The 21908-nt window shown below is 43.4% G+C and overlaps 1 long non-coding RNA gene across 1 annotated transcript in view, besides 3 other annotated features; it reads left to right on the forward strand.

Annotated features, from left to right (window-relative positions):
• The window catches only part of LINC02325 (long intergenic non-protein coding RNA 2325), a 122568-nt gene that overhangs the window by 50500 nt on the left and 50160 nt on the right, over window positions 1–21908 (forward strand). The window contains exon 2 of the long non-coding RNA NR_110166.1: window positions 940–1050. This is a non-coding gene — a long non-coding RNA (long intergenic non-protein coding RNA 2325). The remainder of the gene's footprint in view (window positions 1–939; window positions 1051–21908) is intronic.
• Window positions 16203–16372: an enhancer, noted in NCBI's record as "experimental_38981 CRE fragment used in MPRA reporter constructs". NCBI's record gives its function as "activates a minimal promoter by MPRAs in K562 erythroleukemia cells, with activity observed for both the introgressed and non-introgressed 14:97991940 variant alleles {active_cell/tissue: K562}" and the evidence as "EXISTENCE:reporter gene assay evidence [ECO:0000049][PMID:34662402]".
• Window positions 17435–17604: an enhancer, noted in NCBI's record as "experimental_38982 CRE fragment used in MPRA reporter constructs". NCBI's record gives its function as "activates a minimal promoter by MPRAs in K562 erythroleukemia cells, with activity observed for the non-introgressed 14:97993172 or rs76265996 variant allele {active_cell/tissue: K562}" and the evidence as "EXISTENCE:reporter gene assay evidence [ECO:0000049][PMID:34662402]".
• Window position 17520: a transcriptional cis regulatory region, noted in NCBI's record as "Neanderthal adaptively introgressed variant 14:97993172 (GRCh37/hg19 assembly coordinates) or rs76265996 in the experimental_38982 CRE". NCBI's record gives its function as "modulates activity of the experimental_38982 enhancer by MPRAs in K562 erythroleukemia cells {active_cell/tissue: K562}" and the evidence as "EXISTENCE:reporter gene assay evidence [ECO:0000049][PMID:34662402]".

Consider the following 21908-nt stretch of genomic DNA (forward strand, 5'->3'; position numbering starts at 1 on the left):
CTGAAATCTTGATTTCAGCATATGCTATCCTGAGTGGAGAGCTTAGCTGCACTGTGCCTGGACCCCTGGCCTACTGAAGCTGTGAGATAATAAATAGGAATTGTAAGCCACTATGTTTGTGGCCATTTGTTACACAGCCATAGAAAACCAATACATGTACATAGAGCTGACCTATCCCCAGCATAGACTAAGTGTGCAATGAATGATCTTTTTTTTTTTTTTTTTTTTGCCTTCCTCTTCTTCCTCTGTCTTCTTTTTACAGAAAATGCAAAGCTTACTCTACAAACTCACATGGGGGTAGAATACAGCTATACATATTTTTTTCCTCCTAAGACTAATTTCTCTTTTGGGCAATTCAATTTCAGTCAATGTAGAGAGCCTCTCTTCCTTCCAGCCTCTGTTCTTTCTCAGGTTTGGATGTTCTCCTTGCATCTTACTTGATTCCATGGATGGGTTCTACCTCTTGTCCACTCAGTTTCAGGGGAATCTTTCTGTGGTCAGGCTGAGTGCAGAGAGTTGGTGAGGCTGACCAGGGCCCTCAATGAAGGCCTAGATATTCCACGAAGCCGTTTATTCTCTGGAGTTCCACATTTCCCTGGAGTTCCACATAGAAAACAGGCCCAACTTGTCTCTATTTTCAGATTCCATAAACCTAGGTGGGGGTTGGAGGCATAGTCCCTTTTCTTGTTTTTGTTTGTTTGATTGTTTTAACAAACATTTTATTCTGGAATAATTTTAGTTTTATAGAAAAGTTGCAAAGATAATATGGAGAATTCCCATATACCCTTTGCCAAGTATAACTTTCCCTTAATGTTACATTTCTCTAGTCTATTTTTCAGAAGTAAGACACTAACATTGGTAAATTACTATTACCAAAACTCTAGACTTTACTTGAATTTCATCAAGCTTTTCTTTAATGTCTTTTTGTTGTTGTTGCAGAATTCAATCCACGTTACTCCATTGCCATTTGTTACCACGTCCTTCAGTCTCCTCAATCTCTCAGTCCCCTTATTTTTCGTGACCTTGACAACTTTGAGGAGGACTCATCAGGTATGTTGTAGAATGCACCTCAGTCATGGTTTGTGTGAGATTTTCTCATGATTAGACTGGGCCTATGGATTTTTGGAGAGGAGACAACAAAACTTAAGTGCCCTTTTTATCCCATCAGAGCATGGGGCACATGGTATCTACATGGCATCACGGATGGTGCTGACCTTAATCACATTGTCAAGGTACTGTTTGCACTAAATAAAAAGCAGTGTCCACATCTTTATCTCTCCCTCGCATCATCCTTCCTTCCTTCTCCCCTTAGGCTGAGGTCAGGAGACAAAAGAGGGAGAGTTGTAACTTCTTCAACCCTTCATGCTTTTGTTTATTTCACTGTTTCCCTAAGGATCTGGGCTTTTGGAAGACAAAAGCCAGAGAAATACAAGCAGCATATTATATTCTGGCCTTGATGTTCTCTACCTCTGAGGCAATGAGCACAAGAAAAGTCTGGCTGTTCAAAGAGGGTTGGGGAAAGAATTTTCAGGAAAAAAAAAATTTTTAGTTTATATTTCAGAAATATTATTCTGCCACATTTTGCTTGAAGCTCAGCCCAGGGTTTCCACTGCAGCTGCAGTTTCAAATATACTGCCCCATTATCTCTAGAAGGTTTTTTTCACTTATTAGACATGCTACCCAAAGTTCTATTGTGCAACAGAGTTAAAGGGCCTGGAGCCCTTGCAAAATTTAGGACGTATGGAAAAAGCCAAGGTTACAGCTGACACCATCCTTAAATATTGGCTCAACAGACAACTTGCCTTGAGATACATGAAGAGGAGTTAACTGCACTTAAGTAAAAATTCAGAATTTGGGCAAAAACACATTCAGAAAGAACATGTTGGAGATATGGTTGTATGCAGACAAAATGATTCTAAAACACTTATTTCCCAAATTTCTTATTTGAGAGCCAGTTTGACTAATTTTGGGAAGAATCTATAGTGTGCACTAAGTTCCTTCCATTTTCCTACTGGCCTGATAGAACCTTCCTGATTCTTCGTTGACCCTGCAGCTCTAGCTACAGTGATTGGCTAAATGGTGGGCACCTGACTGGAGTTGGACTAATCATAGCTCCTCACATCCCTGGCCATCTGATTGGTTGCTTGTGAACACATGACTCAGACTGGGCCGATCCGAACCCCAGTTGAGCATGGGGCATGTAAGTAGGAGGAAGGGAGAGAGGGAAAGGACTCTGATCTCTAAACAGTGAGGATCTGAGCCCAGGAGTTGCTGGTAGCCATGGTTTCAACCTCATAGAAACAGATATTCTAAGGCCGTGAAGTTAATGTGTGGGGAGAATCAGGTAGAGATAATTCTGATGCCCTCCCCACCCTTATTATGCCTGTACCCATGGACACCCTACATTTGGATTATGAGCCACTGATCCTCCTTTCTGCCCAAGTGAGTCTGTGTTACTTTTCTCTTGCTTAAAAACAAAGTCAGTCTTGACTAAGAAAGAGTTATGTCTCACAATCAGGGCAGTGCAAGGCAGGGGAAGAAGAGAAAGCTCTAAATGCCCCACCTCAGAGAGTCTTGGGTTCAAATGTGATTCCCTGATGCTCCATTGATTATCTGTGCGATCTTGGGCAAGATACTCAACCTCTCTGGGCATTAGTTTCTTCATCTACACAGTGGGAAAATTAGGAGAATAAATAGTCTTCTGAATCTGTAGGATGTGGATTGGTAATTTTTTTCCTCTCCCTCATCACTATTCAGAAACATTGCCTTACATCCAGTTTATTAAGTCCATACTGCATAATTATTTTTGTTTGAAATTCTTCATTCCACCAACATACATTGGAGTTGCTCTATCATGGTGTCTTCTCCCCTGATGAAGGCATGTGTTCCAGGGGTGAGCAGGTGATGCAAGATAGGACAATCTATGTTCATTTCAGGGTTTTTCCTAGAGGAAAAGAGGGCTTTCCTTTTGGGACATGGAGCAGTTATCTCCCCTGATACGTGGAGGAAGTCTGTATCCAATAGGAGAGAAGGCGCTGAGCAGTGAGAAACAAAGGAAAGAAGGATGGCAAGATAAAATGAATTTGGTGACATGGAATATTGATGTGACTGAATCCACCTTAATGCTGAGCCAATAACATACTAAATCTATACATTTTTTTTTTCTAAAAGCTACTTCATATTGGGTTTCTGTTACTTGCACCTAAAGAAGTCCTAATAACAGCATATTTTATTCCTGCCTTGAACATATTTTCTGATGTGTCCAGAACAGTCTCATTTTATGTCTGTTATTCTGGTGTAGTTAATAATAATAACTAACTTAACTCCCAAAAGTACCCTGGTTTGGTTGATAAATTTCATATTACTTAACCCAATGTACTTGCCCCAAAACAAGTGTTCATGAGGGCAGGGAGAGCCACTTATTTGGAGAAAAGCAAAGGTGGAAGAAGATCAGGAGAACCAATAGGAATATTTTTATTGTGGGTTTTTCTATGTGTCTTTTATTTTTTATGGCTTCTTTCTGTGCATGGAACAAGGTGTTATTTTTTGTCTCCCAGTGGTGAAAATAATTCCAAACAAAAATGATAAATACCAGACTCAAATTGGAAGTGAAAGGATCCAGAAGATGGTACTTGCTGAGAGTAATGGAACAGGGATGGTGCCACAAGAGTTCTTGGGGAAGTTTTGAAGAAAGCAAAGATGTTTTGGGGACATATGCAGTCTGCAGTCCTCCACAGAGACTGGAGCCCAGCATTTTGAAAAGAATGCCAATTGGAAGAATTTGGAATAAAGAATTACTCAGAAATAGAAACTGTTTTGGCAGGGTTGAAATGTTATATCAGTACAGAATGATTTCAAATTAATGGGCAGAATTCAATTTTGTTCATATGCATGCTCCAGTTTGGGAAGGGAATCAAGTGGAAGGGATATATGGGGGCTTTGAGAGACATTGAGTTCTTAGACAGTTCTTCCTTCCCACAAGTTAGAATTTAGAGACGAGTGTGGCCAAACACTGTGGGTGTGGTAAAAGTATGTGTGAGTTCAGACAATGGCAGTGACTGGCAGGGATGCTCTTGACCAGGACTAGGTCTATTACTTGAGATAATATAAAGTCTGAATTATTTCCCAGCCCATGTCATAATATCGTGGGGCTTAGACCCTTCTAAGGCTGCTTACCTTGCCAGGGAAGTGCACTTCCCCCTTGTAAGTATGAGATGGCAATGAGAATCCTGTGTGTGTCTGTATTTATCTGTATCTATATCCAGGTCTATATTATCGGATAATATGCCTACACATTCAGACACACATAGAGCCCCCAGTTCTGTTCCCCAAGCACTTACTAAGGACCCACTCTGTGCTGGAGTCTCTGCTATGTTTTGGGGATATAGTGAGGGAAATGTCTTACAGTCTCCTTCATGTGTTTACTATTTATTAATGCCAAATAGAGAAATAAAAATGCTGTCACATTTACAGAGCCCTTTGGCATTTGTGAAACACATTCACATCAAACAGCGCTGTGAATACAGCAAGAGCCATTCCCCTTATTCTACAGATGGTGAAGTCAACTCAGAAAGACCAAGTGACAAGTTCAAGGTCACACAGCCAAGACTAATCCACAACTCTGCCTCCTACATCTTCTTAAGTCACGTTTAACTATCTCGTATTTCTGTTTGAAATATTTAATTCCAGTAAGTGGGGAATTCTGAGTGGATACCGTGAAGTAAACCCATTTTCAGGCTTTATACCACGAAAACACACATGGACAAAAAGGCAGCATAAATCTCCTTGACTTGTGATTTAATATTGGGACTCCAAGCCCCGGGGAATATTTTCATTTGATTTCTTGCTCCCTTATGCTATAAGAGAGTATTTTTAGAGGGTCAATAGCCTGGTTTAATCTATCATCTCCTTCCTTCCTTCCTTCCTTCCTTCCTTCCTTTTTTCCTTCCTTCCCTCCTTCCTTTTTTCCTTCCTCCCTTCCTCCCTCCCTTCCTTCCTTCCCTTCCTCCCTCTCTCCCTCCTTCCTTCCTTTTTTCCTTTGTTTCTCCTTCCACCTCTTCCTTCCTCCCTCTTGCCTGCCTGCCCTCCTTCATTCCTTCCTCCCTCCCTCCCTCCCTCCTTCCCTCCTTCCTTCCTTCCTTCCTCCTTTCCTTCCTTCCTTCATTTACTTGTTAACTCAACAAATACTTATGTCCATTCCTCTGTGACAGAAACTATACTAAGGGCCAATAATTCAGAGACAAATTAAATTCATTTGCTGCCCTTGAGGGGCTCACAGTCTTGTGGTGAGACAGAGCATCCACTTGGGAGACTGTGATCAACGTTCACCAAGGCTTGGACAGATAGTTAGGAGAATTGACCACATCCACTGACAGACCTCACAGAGGGAGCAGTGGGCATGGCCTTTGGGAGGAGACATTGGAAGGGCCCTCCCAGCCTGGGTAGATGTCCACACCAGCAGGCGAAGCTGCTGCAGAGTGCCCTCAAGGGAGTAATCCACTCCCAGGATGGAGGGGCAGGCCTGCCAGGAGGGCTTCAGGAAGAAGGAGTGCACGCCAGTGGCCTCTAGTCATGCAGGCCTGAACTGGCTGCTGAGATGTGCAGAATGATTCTTCCTGATCCAGTGGGCACTGGAACTTTCAGTGGGCAGGCGGGCTCTCCTGGAGAGGAGGCTGCCCTCCATCTGAAGTCCCTGCTCTGCTCTCCTCTGTCTCTCCCACGCGTCCCTTCAGGCCTTTCATGCACTACCCAAATGTCTTAGGTGGGCTGCACCTCCCTGGAATGGGCTCCGGCCTCCTCCCTTAGCCCTTGTATTAGTCAGCTCCAGCTGCCACAACAAAAGTACCACAGACTAGGGACTGAGGAAAGCATTTATTTTTCATCATTCTGGGCTGGAACTCTAAGGTCGAGGGGCTGGCCTAGTTGGTTTCTGGTGAGGGCCACTTCCTGGGTTTCAGTCTTCTTGCTGTGTTCTCATACAGGTGAAAGAGAGAGACCACCCTCCATCTCTGATGTCTCCTCTTATAAGGACACTAATCCTGTGGGACCAGGGCTCCACCCTCACAACCTCGTTTAATCTTAATTACTTCCTTACTGCACATACAGCCACACCAGGCCTCAAGGCCTCCACAGGAAAATGTTCAGGGGATCCACTTTAATTTTATTATTGTTATTATTATTATTTTTTGGGACAGGGACTCACTCTGTCACCCAGGCTGGAGTTCAGTGGTGCGATCTCAGCTCACTGCAACCTCCACCTCCTGGGTTCAAGCAATTATCGTGCCTCAGCCTCCCAAGTAGCTGGGACTACAAGTGCCTGCCACCACGCCCAGCTAATTTTTGTATTTTTTTGGTGGAGATGGGGTTTTACCACATTGGCCAGGCTGGTCTCAAACTCCTGACCTCAAGTGACCTCAAGTGATACACCTGCCTCAGCCTCCCAAAGTGCCAGAATTACAGGGATGAACCATGGCGCCCAGGGGATCCACTTTAGCCCCGAGGAGCAGCCATCTCCTCACAGCACCTGGCCCAAGCCCCTTCTCACTCCTGTCACTGCCCTTTCAGCCCCATACTCTCAGATTCAGGATTTGTGGATGGGGTCTGGTGCTGGCATTACACACACACACACACACACACACACACACACACACACACACACACACGCACAGTTGCTTGAGTGATTGTTTGATAAAACAATACACATACCTGGTACAAACTTCAAAACACATGAAAATGGGATGAACAGTAAAATGTGACTGGCTCCCCCTCACATCTCCCAGCCACCAGTTTCTTTGATACAGAGAAACTCACGGTTTCTTGTGTATCCTTCCAGAAGTGTCCTATCACTGTTCAGCCTTTCACCGAGTGGATATTTCAAGCTAGTGGCAGCACAGGGTCACACTGCTCTCCATCATGCCTTTGGTACGGATCCATCTGTCATCGAGAGCATCGCTATCTGTAAGAACAGAGCTGCCCCATTTTAATGTTCCATTCTAGGGCTATCCCAAAGGATATTTAACTAGAATACTTGTGATAGGCATGACTTTATTCCAAGTCTTGTGGAGGAAATGAATATGCAAACTCCTTTGGTAATTCTGTTGTCCACTGAAGTTCAAGAACCTCTTGCACAGTCGAATGCCAGCTCCTTCCTTTGTCTTCCTGAATTTCCCACAACCCTCCCCCTCCTCAGTTCCTACACCCAATGGCTGACTTCTACAGTCATCAAGCCCCATAGTAGCTGTGGCTTCTTCTGGCTCACTCTCCTCATCTTTGGAACAGGGGCAATGCACTGCCCACTGCTGATGAGGTTTGAAAGAACTAAATGGGTTAACATCAGCAGAGATCTCAGAACTTGGCCTTCACATAGTAAGAATTGGGCAGATGTAAGCCATTTCCCCCACTGCTATTCTTACTCCCCAGAAATGTCCCACATCCAGGAGGCTGAAAAACTGGGTACTATTTCTCTCCACCTCTTGGAAATACTGAGATAATTACATTTCTCTTGGAAAATATCAGGTGATCTGCATTCACTGGGGAAATGGTGCGTAAACTGATCTCTCTTGCCTTTGCTATGAAAGTCATTTGCAGGTAAGAACCCCAGGATTTGGAAGCAGAATTTCTGTATTGACACAACTATTGGAATTCCTTCTCCAAGATTCAGGTGGGATGGGATTCAGGAAGCAAAGCTGCCACTGCAGCTTCCTCCTTCCATAGTCCAGGTGACAGAAGCGACAGCTTTCTTCTTCCCAAAGGGGAGGAATCGCAGAGATGCCAACTCTGCCGCTATGTAGGCTTCCCTGAGCCCCAGACTCCTGAGTTTCCGGAGAGGGAGCTGCGAAATTCTGGGATCCTATTCAGAGCACTTGTGATGTGCTCAGAGATGATATTAAATGTTTTATATCATTTTGGCCATGATACAGACACATTTGCCTCTGATTCTGAAGAAGCTCAGCATTTCATTAAGTCATTCCTCACTTGATGCACCCTCCTTCCCCAACCCTCTTCTTTACAAATTAAGAAAGAAGCCAAATTTTTTTATTTCTGCAACACTGTAGGTGTGTGTCCTCCATCACTATTTCTTAACAATGTGTGCATTGAACATATAGGTGTTCTCAAGGAAATCAAATATTATACATTTTATACTTTAAAAATAAGACTCTTCTAAAACACATGGGATGCTTTGGCCAGTCTACAAATTGTAAGGCATAAACGTTAAGCCCAGGTACCCAGATGTTATAAAATACCCATTTGATGTAGCTTTTATTTGCCATCAAAGGCTGCTATCTCACAATGCAGAAGCAAATCCTGTGGCAAACTTTGCTTTGCTTCAATCAGATAAACAGAAAATCCTGTAAAACTGCATTTATCTAGCCTACCCCCAGCCTTCCATTCTGGGGAGAGGGCTTATTGCCTTGAGACTTTCTGTCTTCTGGAAACACCCACATGGCCAGTCAGCTCATGGGGTAGGAAAGGATGTCTCTTTGCAGAGTCCCAACTTCCATTCCCTCTCCCACACAGCATGATGCGGGCACTCAGGCGGGCAGACAGTGACTAATCGGTGGTTATTTAGAACAAGGGCCACCAGCCCATCTGCTGGGTGATTAGGATTCTAAAGTGAGTGGGCACTAATTCTCCCCTCAGGGCCTCACAGCCGTGTCAGGGAGGTGGGTAGGTACTCAGACTAAAGTAAAATTGGGAGGCCTTGTGGGGAGGGATCAGTGGGCAGGGAGATGAAAGAAAGCTTTCCAGAAGTCTAGTGCTGAAATTTTGGTGTGACAGACATGTAGGAATTCCCTAGGCAGAAAAAAAGGAAAGGTAGAAGGAACAGCATATTCTAAGGCGTGGAAGCATGAGAGACAACTGTGGGGTCAGTGAAAACAAGGCTGGATCATAGGATGCTATTGGGGAGGTGGTGGCAGCATCTCCTCCTTCAGCAACTGCTTTCTCCTTGAAAGCAGGTCACTGCCCAGCTGGCCAGGCAAGAATCATCACAGGCTTCTCATGTGTGCGTGGGATCTAAGAGAGCTCTTGATTGTATTTCCTTTAACTGTGCTGTATTGGTTTGGTTCTGGCCTGGCCTATCAACTCCTGTGTTAGGAAAAGTAGTCTACTTTTTCTTCTTCTGCCTTGCTTCCTCAATCCATCCTTGCAACCACATCGGAATAACTTATCTACAAGTGTACCTTCAACAGGTCCCAGTGATCAGCAGCAATGTATTCCAAACTGTAGTTAGGTGTCAAAATCACCTGGAGTGGAAGGAAAGCTTTAGTAAAATTCAGTTTCCTCGGCCCTGTTCTAGACCCACAAGATCAGAATTTGGAGATGGTGCTTTGTGTCTGCATTAAAGACACACCCACATCCACACCCACCCCCCCACACATATATACATACTCAGATGCACACACACTCATGCACATACACATATGCACATGTAGTGTGTTGATCGATTGAGTTCAGTCATTGATTAACAAGGTAATATGCCAAATTAAGAATCAAAGTTCACATCTAAGATAACAATGGAAGTCATAGGAATTGATCCAAGGTAGTTCCTCTCTGGCTCTGGGTTTGTTATAAAAAGACATAGAAAAATAATCAATTTTTGCCTTGCTGCCCACCCCCGATTTTAGGTTTCTCTTTGTAAATAACCCCCACCCCTCCAACTCCATAATACTCTTGCTTAGATTGGGTGGCTTGGCAACGTTGCCTTTCGCTTCCTCACCACCATGGCTTCAGAGTGGTGGGCTTGTCACCAAGTAATAGCCTACCAGGATACTTTCCCTCTCACTCCATCCACCTGATTGGCTTACATATTGGCACATGATCCAACTCCTATTCGAAGAAGAGATGATCTGATTGACACATTTAAAGTTGGGGTTCATCCCTGGACCAATCAACTGTAGTCAGGAAGTTCTGGTTACTTGGCAAAAGCAAGGAATGCCAGAGGGCTCTTCCTTATGGATGATGGGGATGAGAAAGCTCTCATTGAAGGGGGATTTTCTTTTGAGCTGAGTTGACTCCCCAAAATATCTTCTAAGAAACAAAATGTGCAACAATTAGGGACTGATTAATAAAATCTTGATTCATTCAGCTCAGAGAGTATATTGTTTTGTGTCCATAACAATGGTAGTTATGGAAGTCTTGTAACACCTGGATGGTAATACATTTATGTGAATTTTACGAGTTAGCCAAAAATTGCATTTAAAGGCTTAATTTTAATTTTAATTTTGGATGGGAAAAGTCTTTCGCATTGTCATGGGTCTTTAAGCCAGTTTGTCCAAATCGAATAAGTCTTCAGAAATTTTGAGCCAGATTGCTTTCTTAGCAAATGAGGAAACTGAGGCCCAGAGAACAGAAGGGATGCTGTGTGATGCCCATCAGTGAGACAGGTGCAGCACATACTGGACGCCAGGTCTCCTGACTCTGGACCAGTGCTCCTTCCATTACACCATGCTGTTTCTTGCTACCTTGGCTTTGTGGTTTCCTAAAAGAAAAACAAATGTGGGAACATTAACTTGAAACATAAGGAGAACGCCTAAGCATTCAAATCCATTATGGAAGAGGTAGCTCTCCTGGACCCTGTTGAAGGATAATGTGCTTGGACCTGTTGTTGGTTCATCGGCTGGTGCTCCATCATTCGGTACCTTGTTCCCAGACATTTTCATTACAGATTCTGCCTGCTGTGATGCACTGGCACCATGCCATTCCTTATGCACATGCCAAAATGCTTTTATAAAACCATTAGAAGAAAGCTTTCCTAATGAGAACCACATCGGAAATGAATTCCTGAGATATCAGTTTGATATCAGTTTGAGATATCAGTTGACATGCCTGAGATATCAGTTTGACTATGAGTGGGCACCTTACCTGTAGACTTGCAAAGGAACAGTCATCAATGGGAAACCCAACCTACTATGCCTTGCCCTGTCTTTCCTACATCACCTGTATGATATATGGTCATTCACATACCTCCACCACCACCAACTACAATTAATACAACTACAGTCACAGAACGGAGAAAAAAGATCATGGTGCAGAGAGTCATAGCTATCTAACATTGCTGAGTGTTGTGCATGGCTGAGGTCTCACCATTTCAGATTGCATCTTTGATGCACAAAGAACATGGAGAGAATAGACAATGGCCGTATCTTCTTTGGAGGCATCAGTAGTAAAGACAATGGTCTTTCCCCACATCAAAGGCCTGTAGGAACAGAGAAGACATTGTTGTTCCTTTGATGAGAGAAATCAATACTTAGGATGAAAAATATAATTGATTGGACATAATGAAAAGTTTAGGCAATATATCTTGTCTAAGTTCAGGTTGAATCTGGAAGACATGATCATAAATAATGCTTCTACTTTATTAAGAATCATCATTAATATTTTATTTAATATGTAATATTTATTTTATTATTGCTTTTTTGTGTATCTTCATAAGAAACTTCCTTCCACTGAGATGACCTGGAGGTGTCTCTATGACTTGAGTTTGTCAAACTGACATACTTCCTATATGGATTTGACCTTGAATGGTCTCTTGATCTCAGTGACGTACTGGTTAATGTGTAACAGTTGATTTTCAAGAAAAAAAAAAAAAGGCCCTTGATATGTATGAGTGGATGATTTCTTTGGTGTAAATACTCACATTGTGGCTGATTTCAAGCCTCCAATATCATGTCACTGAACAGGAAGTTAGAAAGAGATGGGCAGTAGTGCACATCAGATTTAAATATATTCAAGGTCCTAGATAATAGTGAACTATAGTAAAATCATTAGGAAGTGTTATGTTTGGAGTGCTTATTATCTTTGATTTTAATATGGAGTATTTAAATGTAAGCTTATGTAATTTAATTTTTAATAATATCTGTATTTAACAACTGGACTGCAAAATTTCTGAAAATTTTACATTTGTCTGTCATGAGCTGGTATGAGTGGGTCACAGAATACCTGTTTCTTCATCTTTAAAGCGGAGGGTAGTATTGCTGCCTGTCCACACAAAATAACTGGATGATGAAATGTGCTAAGACTATTTAGAAGAGAGCCTCGTCACAGAAAATAGTCAGACCTTACCTTTGTCTGTCAATATCCTGCTTTACAGATGCAATCACACAGTTCTCAGTGGCCATACTTGACCTTGCAATCTTGCTTTCTGACTCTGGGCCAGGTCTTTTTCCACTGCAGAATTTTTAGGGTACTTTTTAAGCTTCACAGGGCGGAGTCTTTCCAGGGGCAGTATGGCCTGGAGGAAGGAAACGGATGTTCAATTCATGCACCCCTGCATTTGAAATCTGGTCTTGAGCCAAGCTCCTTGAGCTTCCTGAGCTTTGTATTTCTCATCTGTAAAATGTACTTTAGTAATGCAAGAACAGCAAATGATTTGCACACGTAGAGCACCTATCACATAGTAATTGCTCAATAAACGTGAAGGGTATTCCCTTTCAAACTAACAGCCATTTGACAACTAAGGGGTCCTTCTTTGCAAGCCAGTTAGAATATGTCTGTGAATAAATCTCATTGGGGACACAGGTCTACCCTATGGTATCTAAGGGATTCTAAATAAAACAGTGACCTTAGATATCTCCTCTGAGTTGAACATGTGAGCCCCATACTGCTAGCACCTTCTAAGCTGACTTTCTTCCATGTCTAGTCTCCTTACACATAAACATGTCTGCTTCCTTCCTGATGAACTGAACCGTTCTGCTCACAGACCAGTTCTTTGATATACTTAGTGTTTTCAACTAATTACACCGTGAAGTCTCCTGGCAGTCCCCATTTGCAACATTTGGCACCATTCCTCCTATTTCATTTATATTAATGATGGGAGTAGTCTGTGTACCATAATCAGTTAAAAATCATGACTTGCCTTATTAATAAATACCAGATTGGTGCATGATATTGTATTGGCTGAGCCCTCATTAGACAGCCCCAAGCTGTACCAGGAGTGGGATGCTTGTGCATTTCTCTTATAAAGTCTCATTTCTCCTTTCTCTTTTGGTTTTTCCTGGTCTTTGCAACTCAGAACAACAAACTTATCCTGTGAGATTTTGGTATTTTTAAATCTGATCCCATTTAAGCCACTTTATCCTTTAGGTAAGTTTCCTTTCCTTCCTTCTTGTCTTCTTCCATTCCTTCCTTTCTTTTCTCTTTCCTTCTTGCCTTCTTTTCCTCCCCTCCCCTTCTTTCTTTCTTTCTTTTCTTCACTGAGGCAAGGGAAAGAGACACAAAGATAAATGAACCACTAGTTTTCATCTGGAGGAGATCTAGGTTCTATCAGTGGCCCCTCTACTCTTCACTCACTATACTCCCACCACCTTGGACTTCCAGTGACCCGAACACGCCAGGATCATCCCTTATTGAAGGGCTCTTCTATCTCCCGGGAACTCTATGACTGTGGAGCTGCACCTGGTGGCTCCATCTTGTCCCCTAGCTCTCAGATCAACAGTCTTCTCGTCATTAAGGCCTTGCCTGATGCTTCCGGCTATGGCAGCTCCCTCTCCATGTCTTTCTCCATTGCATCATCCTCTTTCTCCTACTTCTCAGCCACTGCAGCCATCTGAAATCATCCTGCTATTCAATAATTCTCTTTCTTTCTTGTCTTTCTCTCTGACTAGAACATAAGCTCCTGGAGGCAAAGGACCTTGCTAGTCTTCCTCACTGGTGCTCAGCTCAGGCTTGGCATCAAGTAGATGCTCAGAAAATATTTCATAGCTGCATGGCGGGTTAGGACAGACAAACTCAGTCTACTTGGGCTGCTGTAAGAAAGTCTCACAGACTGGGGGACTTAAACAAGAGAAATTCATTTCCTCACAGTTCTGGAGGCTGTAAGCCCAAGATCAAGGTGCCGGCAGTGTTGGTGTCTCCTGAGGCCTTTCTCCTTGGCTTGTCAATGGCCACCTTCTCCCTGTGTCTTCATGTGGTCTTTCTTCTGTGCCTGTCTGTGTCCCAATCTTCTTTTCTTTTCTTTCTTTCTTTCTTTTTTTTTTTTTTTGAAGCAGAGTCTCGCTCTGTCACCTGGGCTGGAGTGCAGTGGCTCGATCCTGGCTCACTGCAAGCTCCGCCTCCTGGGTTCACGCCATTCTCCTGCCTCAGCCTCCTGAGTAACTGGGACTACAAGTGCCCACCACCACTCCCAGCTAATTTTTTGTATTTTTTTAGTAGAGACGGGTTTCACTGTGTTAGCCAGGATGGTCTCGATCTTCTGACCTCCTGATCCGCCCGCCTCAGCCCCCCAAAGTGCTGGGATTACAAGCGTGAGCCACGGCGCCCGGCCTCAATCTTCTCTTCTTATAAGGACAGCGGTTGTATTGAGTTGAGGCCCACCCTAATGACCATCTTTTAATTTAATTACCTCTTTAAAAATTCTATCTCCACATGTAGTTGCATTCTGAAGTACTGGGGTTAGGCCTTCAACAAGCAAATTTGAGGTTCTCTCAATTCAGCCCTTAACACCCAGGCAGCTTCAGCATTGAGAGAATCATCCATCCAGTACCTGAAAATGAGCCACATGCTCAACAGCAGTGACCGCCTCTGCAGGCCAGTCCGCTCTGCTGCATTCCTCAGCTGTCACTCTCTCACTGTCTGTCTTGTGGAAAGAATAACATTGCCTCAACACTTCGCTGGTGCTGTTCACTTCCCTGTAAGCCATGTTACTACCTGGGCATCTTTGACTTATTTTCTTAGGCTCAGCTCAGCTGTTGCTCCTGGGCTGGGTTCAGGTCCCTGTTTTAAGCTTTCTTAGCATCAAGTCCCTGCCCTGCATTACATCATCTTTTCACGTTGCCACAGGATTCAGGACTCTCTCATCCCACTTCCCAGCAGACTGGGAACTCTTTAAGATCAGAAGCCACACCTTTCATTTCCGTATTTTCATGAGTCATTTGGTAGGCATGCAAGAAGCATTCACTCCATGGACAAATGAAGCTACTTCTGAACCTAGCTTCAGTCTCTAGATATATGAGGATTCCCCAGAGAAACAGAGCCAACAGGACACGTGTATAGAAAGAGATTTATTTCAAGGAATTAGCTCACGTGACTGTGGAGGCACAAGTCTTAAATATACAGGGTAGGCTGGCAGGCTGGACACCGAGGAAGAGCTGCAGTTCAAGTCCGAGGGCTGTCTGTTGGCAGAATTGCTTCTTGCTTGGAGGAGGTCAGACTTTGTCCTATTTAGGACTTCAAAGAATTGGATGAAGCCCACCTACATTGGGCGGGCCATCTGCTTTACTCAAAGTTTACCAATTTAAATGAGAATGTCATCCAAAAACACCCTCACAGAAACATCCAGAACAATGTTTGACCAAACATTTGGGCACCTTGGCCCAGCCAAGTTGTCATATAAGACTAACCGTCACAGCGGGGAAGACCTTTTTGTGTGTGATCTTCATACATGAACAGCTTATGTGGACAACCTCATTACTGTTGTGAACTAAGGCACTCCTCGGTGAAGCTGTCTAGAGATTCCACTAGGTTTACCCAGACCACAAGGCATCCCCTGTTAGTGGTTGTGGGAGGTGCCATTTGTAAATAGCTTTGCCTGCTGTTTCCTTTTTTTGTGTGTGTGTGGACAAGCTGAGGGATTTAGTCTCTGGGTACCCATCTGCAACCTTTCCAAGAACTAGATTTGCTTACAATTTCAAATAGAGCCTGTAAGACACTTTGGCTTCACTTTCCCTGTCTCTCCCTCATTCTCTCCTAAGTACACTGTTAAATAATGGATTTGTGAAATGAATAATAGGCTCTGGCGGTAGCGGTTGGTCAGGAAATGTGTGTGGGCAGCTGGAGTGGTGAGAGGAAGCATTAAGCAGGCTGGTCTCTGGTTTTGGTTGTTTTTGTTGGGGTTATGTCTCCTCTCCACCCCTGCCCCCGCCTTGCTCCTTCTTTCACTTTTATCTCCTGGCATTGGGTCCTGTTGGGGTTGGACAGAAGACACGGGAGAGCCCACCAGAACAGTCTGCTCTTCCCAGGGTATCCTTCCCTGTGATACCCATGACCACAGGCAATGCAGGGAGAAGATGATGCAGAGGAGCTTAGGATGCAATTTTTTTTTCTTGAAAATTGTGACAGAGAAAAATACATGCGTACAAACTGATTAACCACCACCCACAAAAAGACATGAACGAAACCCTCTGTACCCGAGTCACAGCAGAGACTTCCAAGCCTCACCAGAGCACATGACCTCATGGTCTTGCCGTCCCAATCCTTATCAAAATCTAGGCATGATAAATGACAATGTGCAGACCTCCAGAAAGACCTTGGATACATGTGTTTCCTTGCGGTATCTAATTTTATGCTGTGGAGAGACACAGAGTGGGTGTGGACAGACTGTTCACTTCTCACTCAAAATCTCTTTCCATCTCCTTCTGTAGTGAGAATACCCTGATTCATTTGGAATAGGAATCACCTTACCTTTCCCAGCCTCACTTCTGGCTGCGAGAGCTCATGGAGCAGCACTGAGATTAATGGCACATGTGCAGAGGCCCTGGTGTGGGGCTTTTGTGAATGTTTTTTAAGGTGAGTCGACCCAACTGGCACACACCCCCTTGCACCCTCGTATTTCCTCCTTTTGCCCACTGGGAAAGGGACATGTTACCCTCTAACACGACAGTGCCTTGTGAATATACACACGCACATCTGTAACACACACTCATTTGGATGTGTAAGCATACTTCTGCACATAACATAAACATGTCCATGGTCACATATGTGCACACACAGATGTAAACCCATATATATATGGTTTGTACATTTTTTTGTTTGTTGACGTATGTACATTTCAACATAAACTTACAGACCTACTGACACATACAAGATATTCACATTAAACATACATGCCTGCCTAAATACATATGTATATGCCTACATCTCTTTCTCTGCTTTACTCAAATGCGTATCTGCTCACGTGCTAACGCACGGTTGCATGCATTCATTTGCATCTTCTTTGTACACACACAGACTGAAGGAGAGGAGAAATAGTGGATGTCTACAGGTAACATAGTGTCACGTATGAAAAACTATTTGGGCTTTATCCTCGAGGAACAGTAATTTACCCACTATCTGTGTAAAAGGTACTGGCTATTCTAAGTGGGATTTGATGTGGGGTTTGAGTCTGAAGGAATTTACAATTTCCCAGGGGAGGAAAAAATAGGAGATGTCCACATGGTCACCTAAGAAACACTGAAACCAATATAAAGAATGTCACAAAGCCATTGGTGAACATCCACCTTGAAGGCAAAAGTGATTGGAGTTTCCTGGGACAGCATCCCATCAGAGGTCAGCAATAAAGTCCATGTTCACCAACCAAGGCTGCTACATACAGTTGCACAGAGCATTCACTGTGCAAGGGCGCTAGAACAACATCAGATCTTCTCTCTGCCTTTCAATCCATTCACTTGCCATGGGACTGCACTCTTCAAGAAGAAAAGGCATTTTGGTGGTTTCTAACATGCATAAAGTTACTCTAAGGGCTAAGGGAAGCACAATCACTAATTGTGTCGAAGATACCTCACCCAGTCCCCGTGGAGAGAAAGGTGCCTACATCTCAGAAGAAAGTCATTTGGCTTCCAGTAGCTCTTCGTATGTGACTCCTTGGCTTGTGGTCAGCTTTGCCTTTGCAGCTTGCATTCATAAGCTTCGGGGCTTCTATAGTGCATTGGGTTAAATGAAAGGGATGGGGCAGACAAAGCCCACTGAATTACCTTTAACCAGCATGGAGCAGCACTGAGAAATTGATTAAAATATGCATTCCCCTAATAGAGCGGCTGGTCCCAGTCTGGAAATTAATTAATGTTAATAGTACACAATCAAAACTGCTTTTGGAAATCTTCTTAGAACATTAACTAAAATGTTCATCTTTTTAATGCATTTTCCTGAGCCACGGAGGCTAAAAGCTTCGCTTGTTCCATGCAAATGTGAAGGCGAGGAAAAAAAAAGCAAGCAGATTTAGGTATTTCAGGCTTGATAATGCTGGCTTTTCTGGTTAACCTGAGCCTGCTCCCAGGGCCTGGGCAAGATACCTCTTTTAGCTACTGAGACGGAGAGAGTGACCTGAGGACTGCAGACAGTCACCTCTGCATTTTATGCTGTGGACCACAGAAGGGGAAAACCGGCAGAGAAAAGGAACAAGAACTGAAGGGAGTCAGTTGAGGATCACCTGGATGTCTGGCCCTGGTGTGAGGGTGGGAGGCACAGAGCTTTAGGTGACACCAAAGGTTTCCTCAACTCAACAAAATGGTACATTTCAGTGATTTCCAAATAGAAGCGTTTTTGTAGCACCAGCTCCCTTAGTAACTAACTGTCTGCCAGTATAATGAATTTTTAACTTGCTTGGCCCCACCCTAGTCACCATGTACAGGTTTAGGGGGATTTGGATGCTCCAACCCCTTCAGTGAAAGTCCTGGTGAGCCTTGCCATGGCCTTACCCTTCAGTTATTGGTTTCCTCAATTATCATTTGCCTACTGCCTACTAACTAGCTGCTGAGCAAAGCATTCCTCTCAGGAGGTCAGAGTTTGGTGTGGGAGATAGGCATGCAGGCAGGCAAAGGGTGGTGCCTATCACAGAGATGTGCCCAAGCTGAAACAGAGCTCAGAGGAGGGATGCTAGCCCAGGAGAGGGCAGAGGCTGGTCTGAGAAGGCTTTGGATAAGGGATTGGCCAATCGAGGGATTAGAAGCAGCATCAGGGGTGTTCATGAGCGTGTGTCTGTGTGCGCACATGCATGTGCATGCTGAGTATGTTTGAATGTGTGAGCATATGTGTGCATGTGTGAGTGTATGAGAGTGCAGCCACGTGTCAGAGTGTGGGAGTGTGTATGCAAGTATGTGTGTGTGCATGTTGAGTGTGTTTGAATGTGTGCATGCATGTGAGTGTGTGATTGTGTGCACATGTGTGAGAGAGCATATCCATGTGTGAGAGTCAGTGTGTGTGCACATCTTTGTGCACGTTGAGTGTGTGTTTGAAAATATGAACATGTGTGTCTGTGTGTGTATGTGTGTGTGTATGTTGAGTGTATGCACATACTTGAGCATGGATATGTGTGTGAGGGTGCATATGGATATGTAAGTGTGAGTCAATGAGTGTACATGAGTGTGTTTGAATGTTTGCATGTGTGTCAGTGTGTAATCATGCAAGTCCAAGTGTAGGAGTGTGTGCAGGAGTGCATATGCATGTGTGAGTATGTATGAGTGTGTGGATGTGATTCTGGGGGCAACTAGGCTGAGGCAGGCATGAGCCCATGGGTACAGGGGCAGGAATGGAGGAGAGATTTGCAACTTATGAACAGGGCTGGTTGGAGAGATGCCAAATACTGTATAGGAGGAGAAAGGAAGTTAGTGCCATGAAAAGGAATTGGGTGAATGTAGGAGCTCTTGTTTTGTTTTGTGAGATCATAGGGTGACAGGGGGAAAATCAAGGGGAAATACCTCTACTGGTGAAGATGGTCAAGCTGCCATATTTACTCGGATCCCATTTTCTGAGAGCATTCATTAAAATGTTCTCTTCCTTATGATTAAGGCAAAGCTTCTCAACCTCAGCACTGCTGGCTTGTTTGTGGTGGGGCTGTCCTGTGCACTGTAGGATGGTCAGCATTTCTGGCATCTACCCGCTAGATTCTAGTTATGATGAGCAAATCTGTCTTCAGACATTGTCAGATGTCCCTGGGGTAGTGGAGGTAAGAGCCATTGGTTAAAGGCAATGAGAGATTATGTCACCAAACCTAAGGATCTTTGCCTGTTGATCAGTGCCAACCTTGGGCTCCTAAAATTGCAACTGGTTTCAGCAACTGCGCTTCTCCAACTAAAGCTTTGGCAGTTTTACTTTACTTAAATTTTGAATTTGCATATATTTTAATCTGCAAAATGGAATGAAATATTAAAATGTATTCTGGTCTTTTTTAATGTAGTTTTAACCACCCCATCAGTGCTTCCTGGTCATAAGAGTGCATGGGAGATTTTCATTAAAATGGGACCATTTATCTTATTATATTATTTTCTCAGTTGAGGTGAGCTCATTTTAAACTTTTAATTTCTTCAATCTCATTGTAAAATAAACTGTGATAAGATAAATACTAACTTTTAAATAATTGAAAAACAACTATCAGATTCTTTTACAGTTTATTATTTTCTAGCATTGAGGAAAAGGAGCTGACTTTGGGGGCCAGGCTGTACTGGGTGACCACAACCCTGAATTCAAGCCCACTCTCTTCCAAATTTGAGCCACGAGACTTCCAGCAAGTCTGTGACCTGTTTCCCTTTTTGTTTAATGGGAATTTCATCTGCATTTTTCGACTGTTGGAGAATTCAAATCAAATCAGGGCTATCAAAAAATTTGAAAACTGAAAAAAGTGCCACATAAATAGAAATAATTATTATATAGGTCGAGCATCTGTTCCATGATGAGCAGGTCTATGCAACCCTACCTCCAAAGGCTGAAGAAGCTGGGAGGCTGAGAAAAGAGGCTGAAAAATCTTGTTTCTCAGAAAGAAACATTTAATAGGAACTTATGATGAGAAGCCATATCTCAAGCAGCCGAGGATGGTGGATCCCTGCATCTGCCTTCCGGAAAGTATATATAAACATATTTATTTAAAAGACAGGGTATCACTACGTTGCTGCAGTGCAGTGGCTATTCACAAGTGCAATCCTGCTACTGTTCAGCACGAGAGTTTTGACCTGCTTTATTTCCAACCTGGGCCAGTTCACTCCTCCTTAGGCAACCTGGTAGTCCCCCAGTCACTCCCTGGAGGTCACCATATCAATGCCAAGCTTAGTGCAACATCCAATCAGCATAGCTCACCACAGTCCAGAACTCCTGGGCTCAAACGATCTTCTTGCCTCAGCCTCTCAGCAGCCGTAACTACAGGCAAGCCAGGCAGTATTCTTTATATAGCAAGTTTTAGGGTAAAACATGTGCATTTGATCATGTCTTCACACTTTCTTGCCAAGACTTGTGACTACTGAGGAGGTTAGATAAGCATCTTTATGAGGGGTTAGCTATGCTACAGGCATTGTTTAAAGGACTTACTGCAGAACCCCTTGGTATACGGGAATCAAACATCGGACATCGCGGGGGTTTTGCTTCAAGATAGCGTCACTCTTGCCATGCAACAGGCTGTTTTCCTACAGAATCTTAAATCTGAAAATTCAAAATCTGAAACTTTTTGAGTGCCGGCATGATGCTCAACAGAAACGCTCATTGGAGCATTTTGGATTTTTGATTCTCAGAGTTGGGATGCCCAACCAGTAAACATAAAGCTAATTTTCCAAAATTTGAAGAAATCTGAAATCCAAAACACTTCAGTTCTGAAGCGTTTTACATAAGGGATACTCAACCTGCAATGTTAATTATTATAATTCTGCAGAAAGGTTGAATGGTGTAAAATCAGGTAGCACTGAATACAAATTTTAGATCTGCCACTTACTGGTGGTGAAAGTTCAGGTACGTTACTTAAATTTTCTAAAATTCTGTTTTCCCATCTGCAGAACTCAACAGCAGAACTCACAGCATGGAATTTAAGGATTACAGGCCAAAGGTTTTGCAAAATGTGCCCAGTGTGAGGCACAGAGTACATGCTCAAGAAACAGTAGCTATATAATCAATGTGACCACAGCTATTATTATTATCACTATTGTTAATTTTTCAAACTCAGCCTACATTCACATTTTGTTAAAAGCTCATATGGCTGGGTTTTTCACCAAAAGCCAGGACTTTTGGCATTCGAGTACAGAACGGACATACAGTCAGTTTAGTCTCATCTTATTTGCACAATTGCAATGGCATACCTTCTGGTCACTGCTTTTTTTTTTTTTTTTTTTTTTGAGACGGAGTTTTGCTCTTGTTATTCAAGCTGGAGTGCAATGGCACAATCTGCTCACTGCAACCTCCGCCTCCTGGGTTCAAGCGATTCTCCTGCCTCAGCCTAC

The sequence above is a fragment of the Homo sapiens genome, chromosome 14 (genome assembly GCF_000001405.40).
Source record: "Homo sapiens chromosome 14, GRCh38.p14 Primary Assembly".
Classification (NCBI taxonomy): Eukaryota; Metazoa; Chordata; class Mammalia; order Primates; family Hominidae; genus Homo; species Homo sapiens.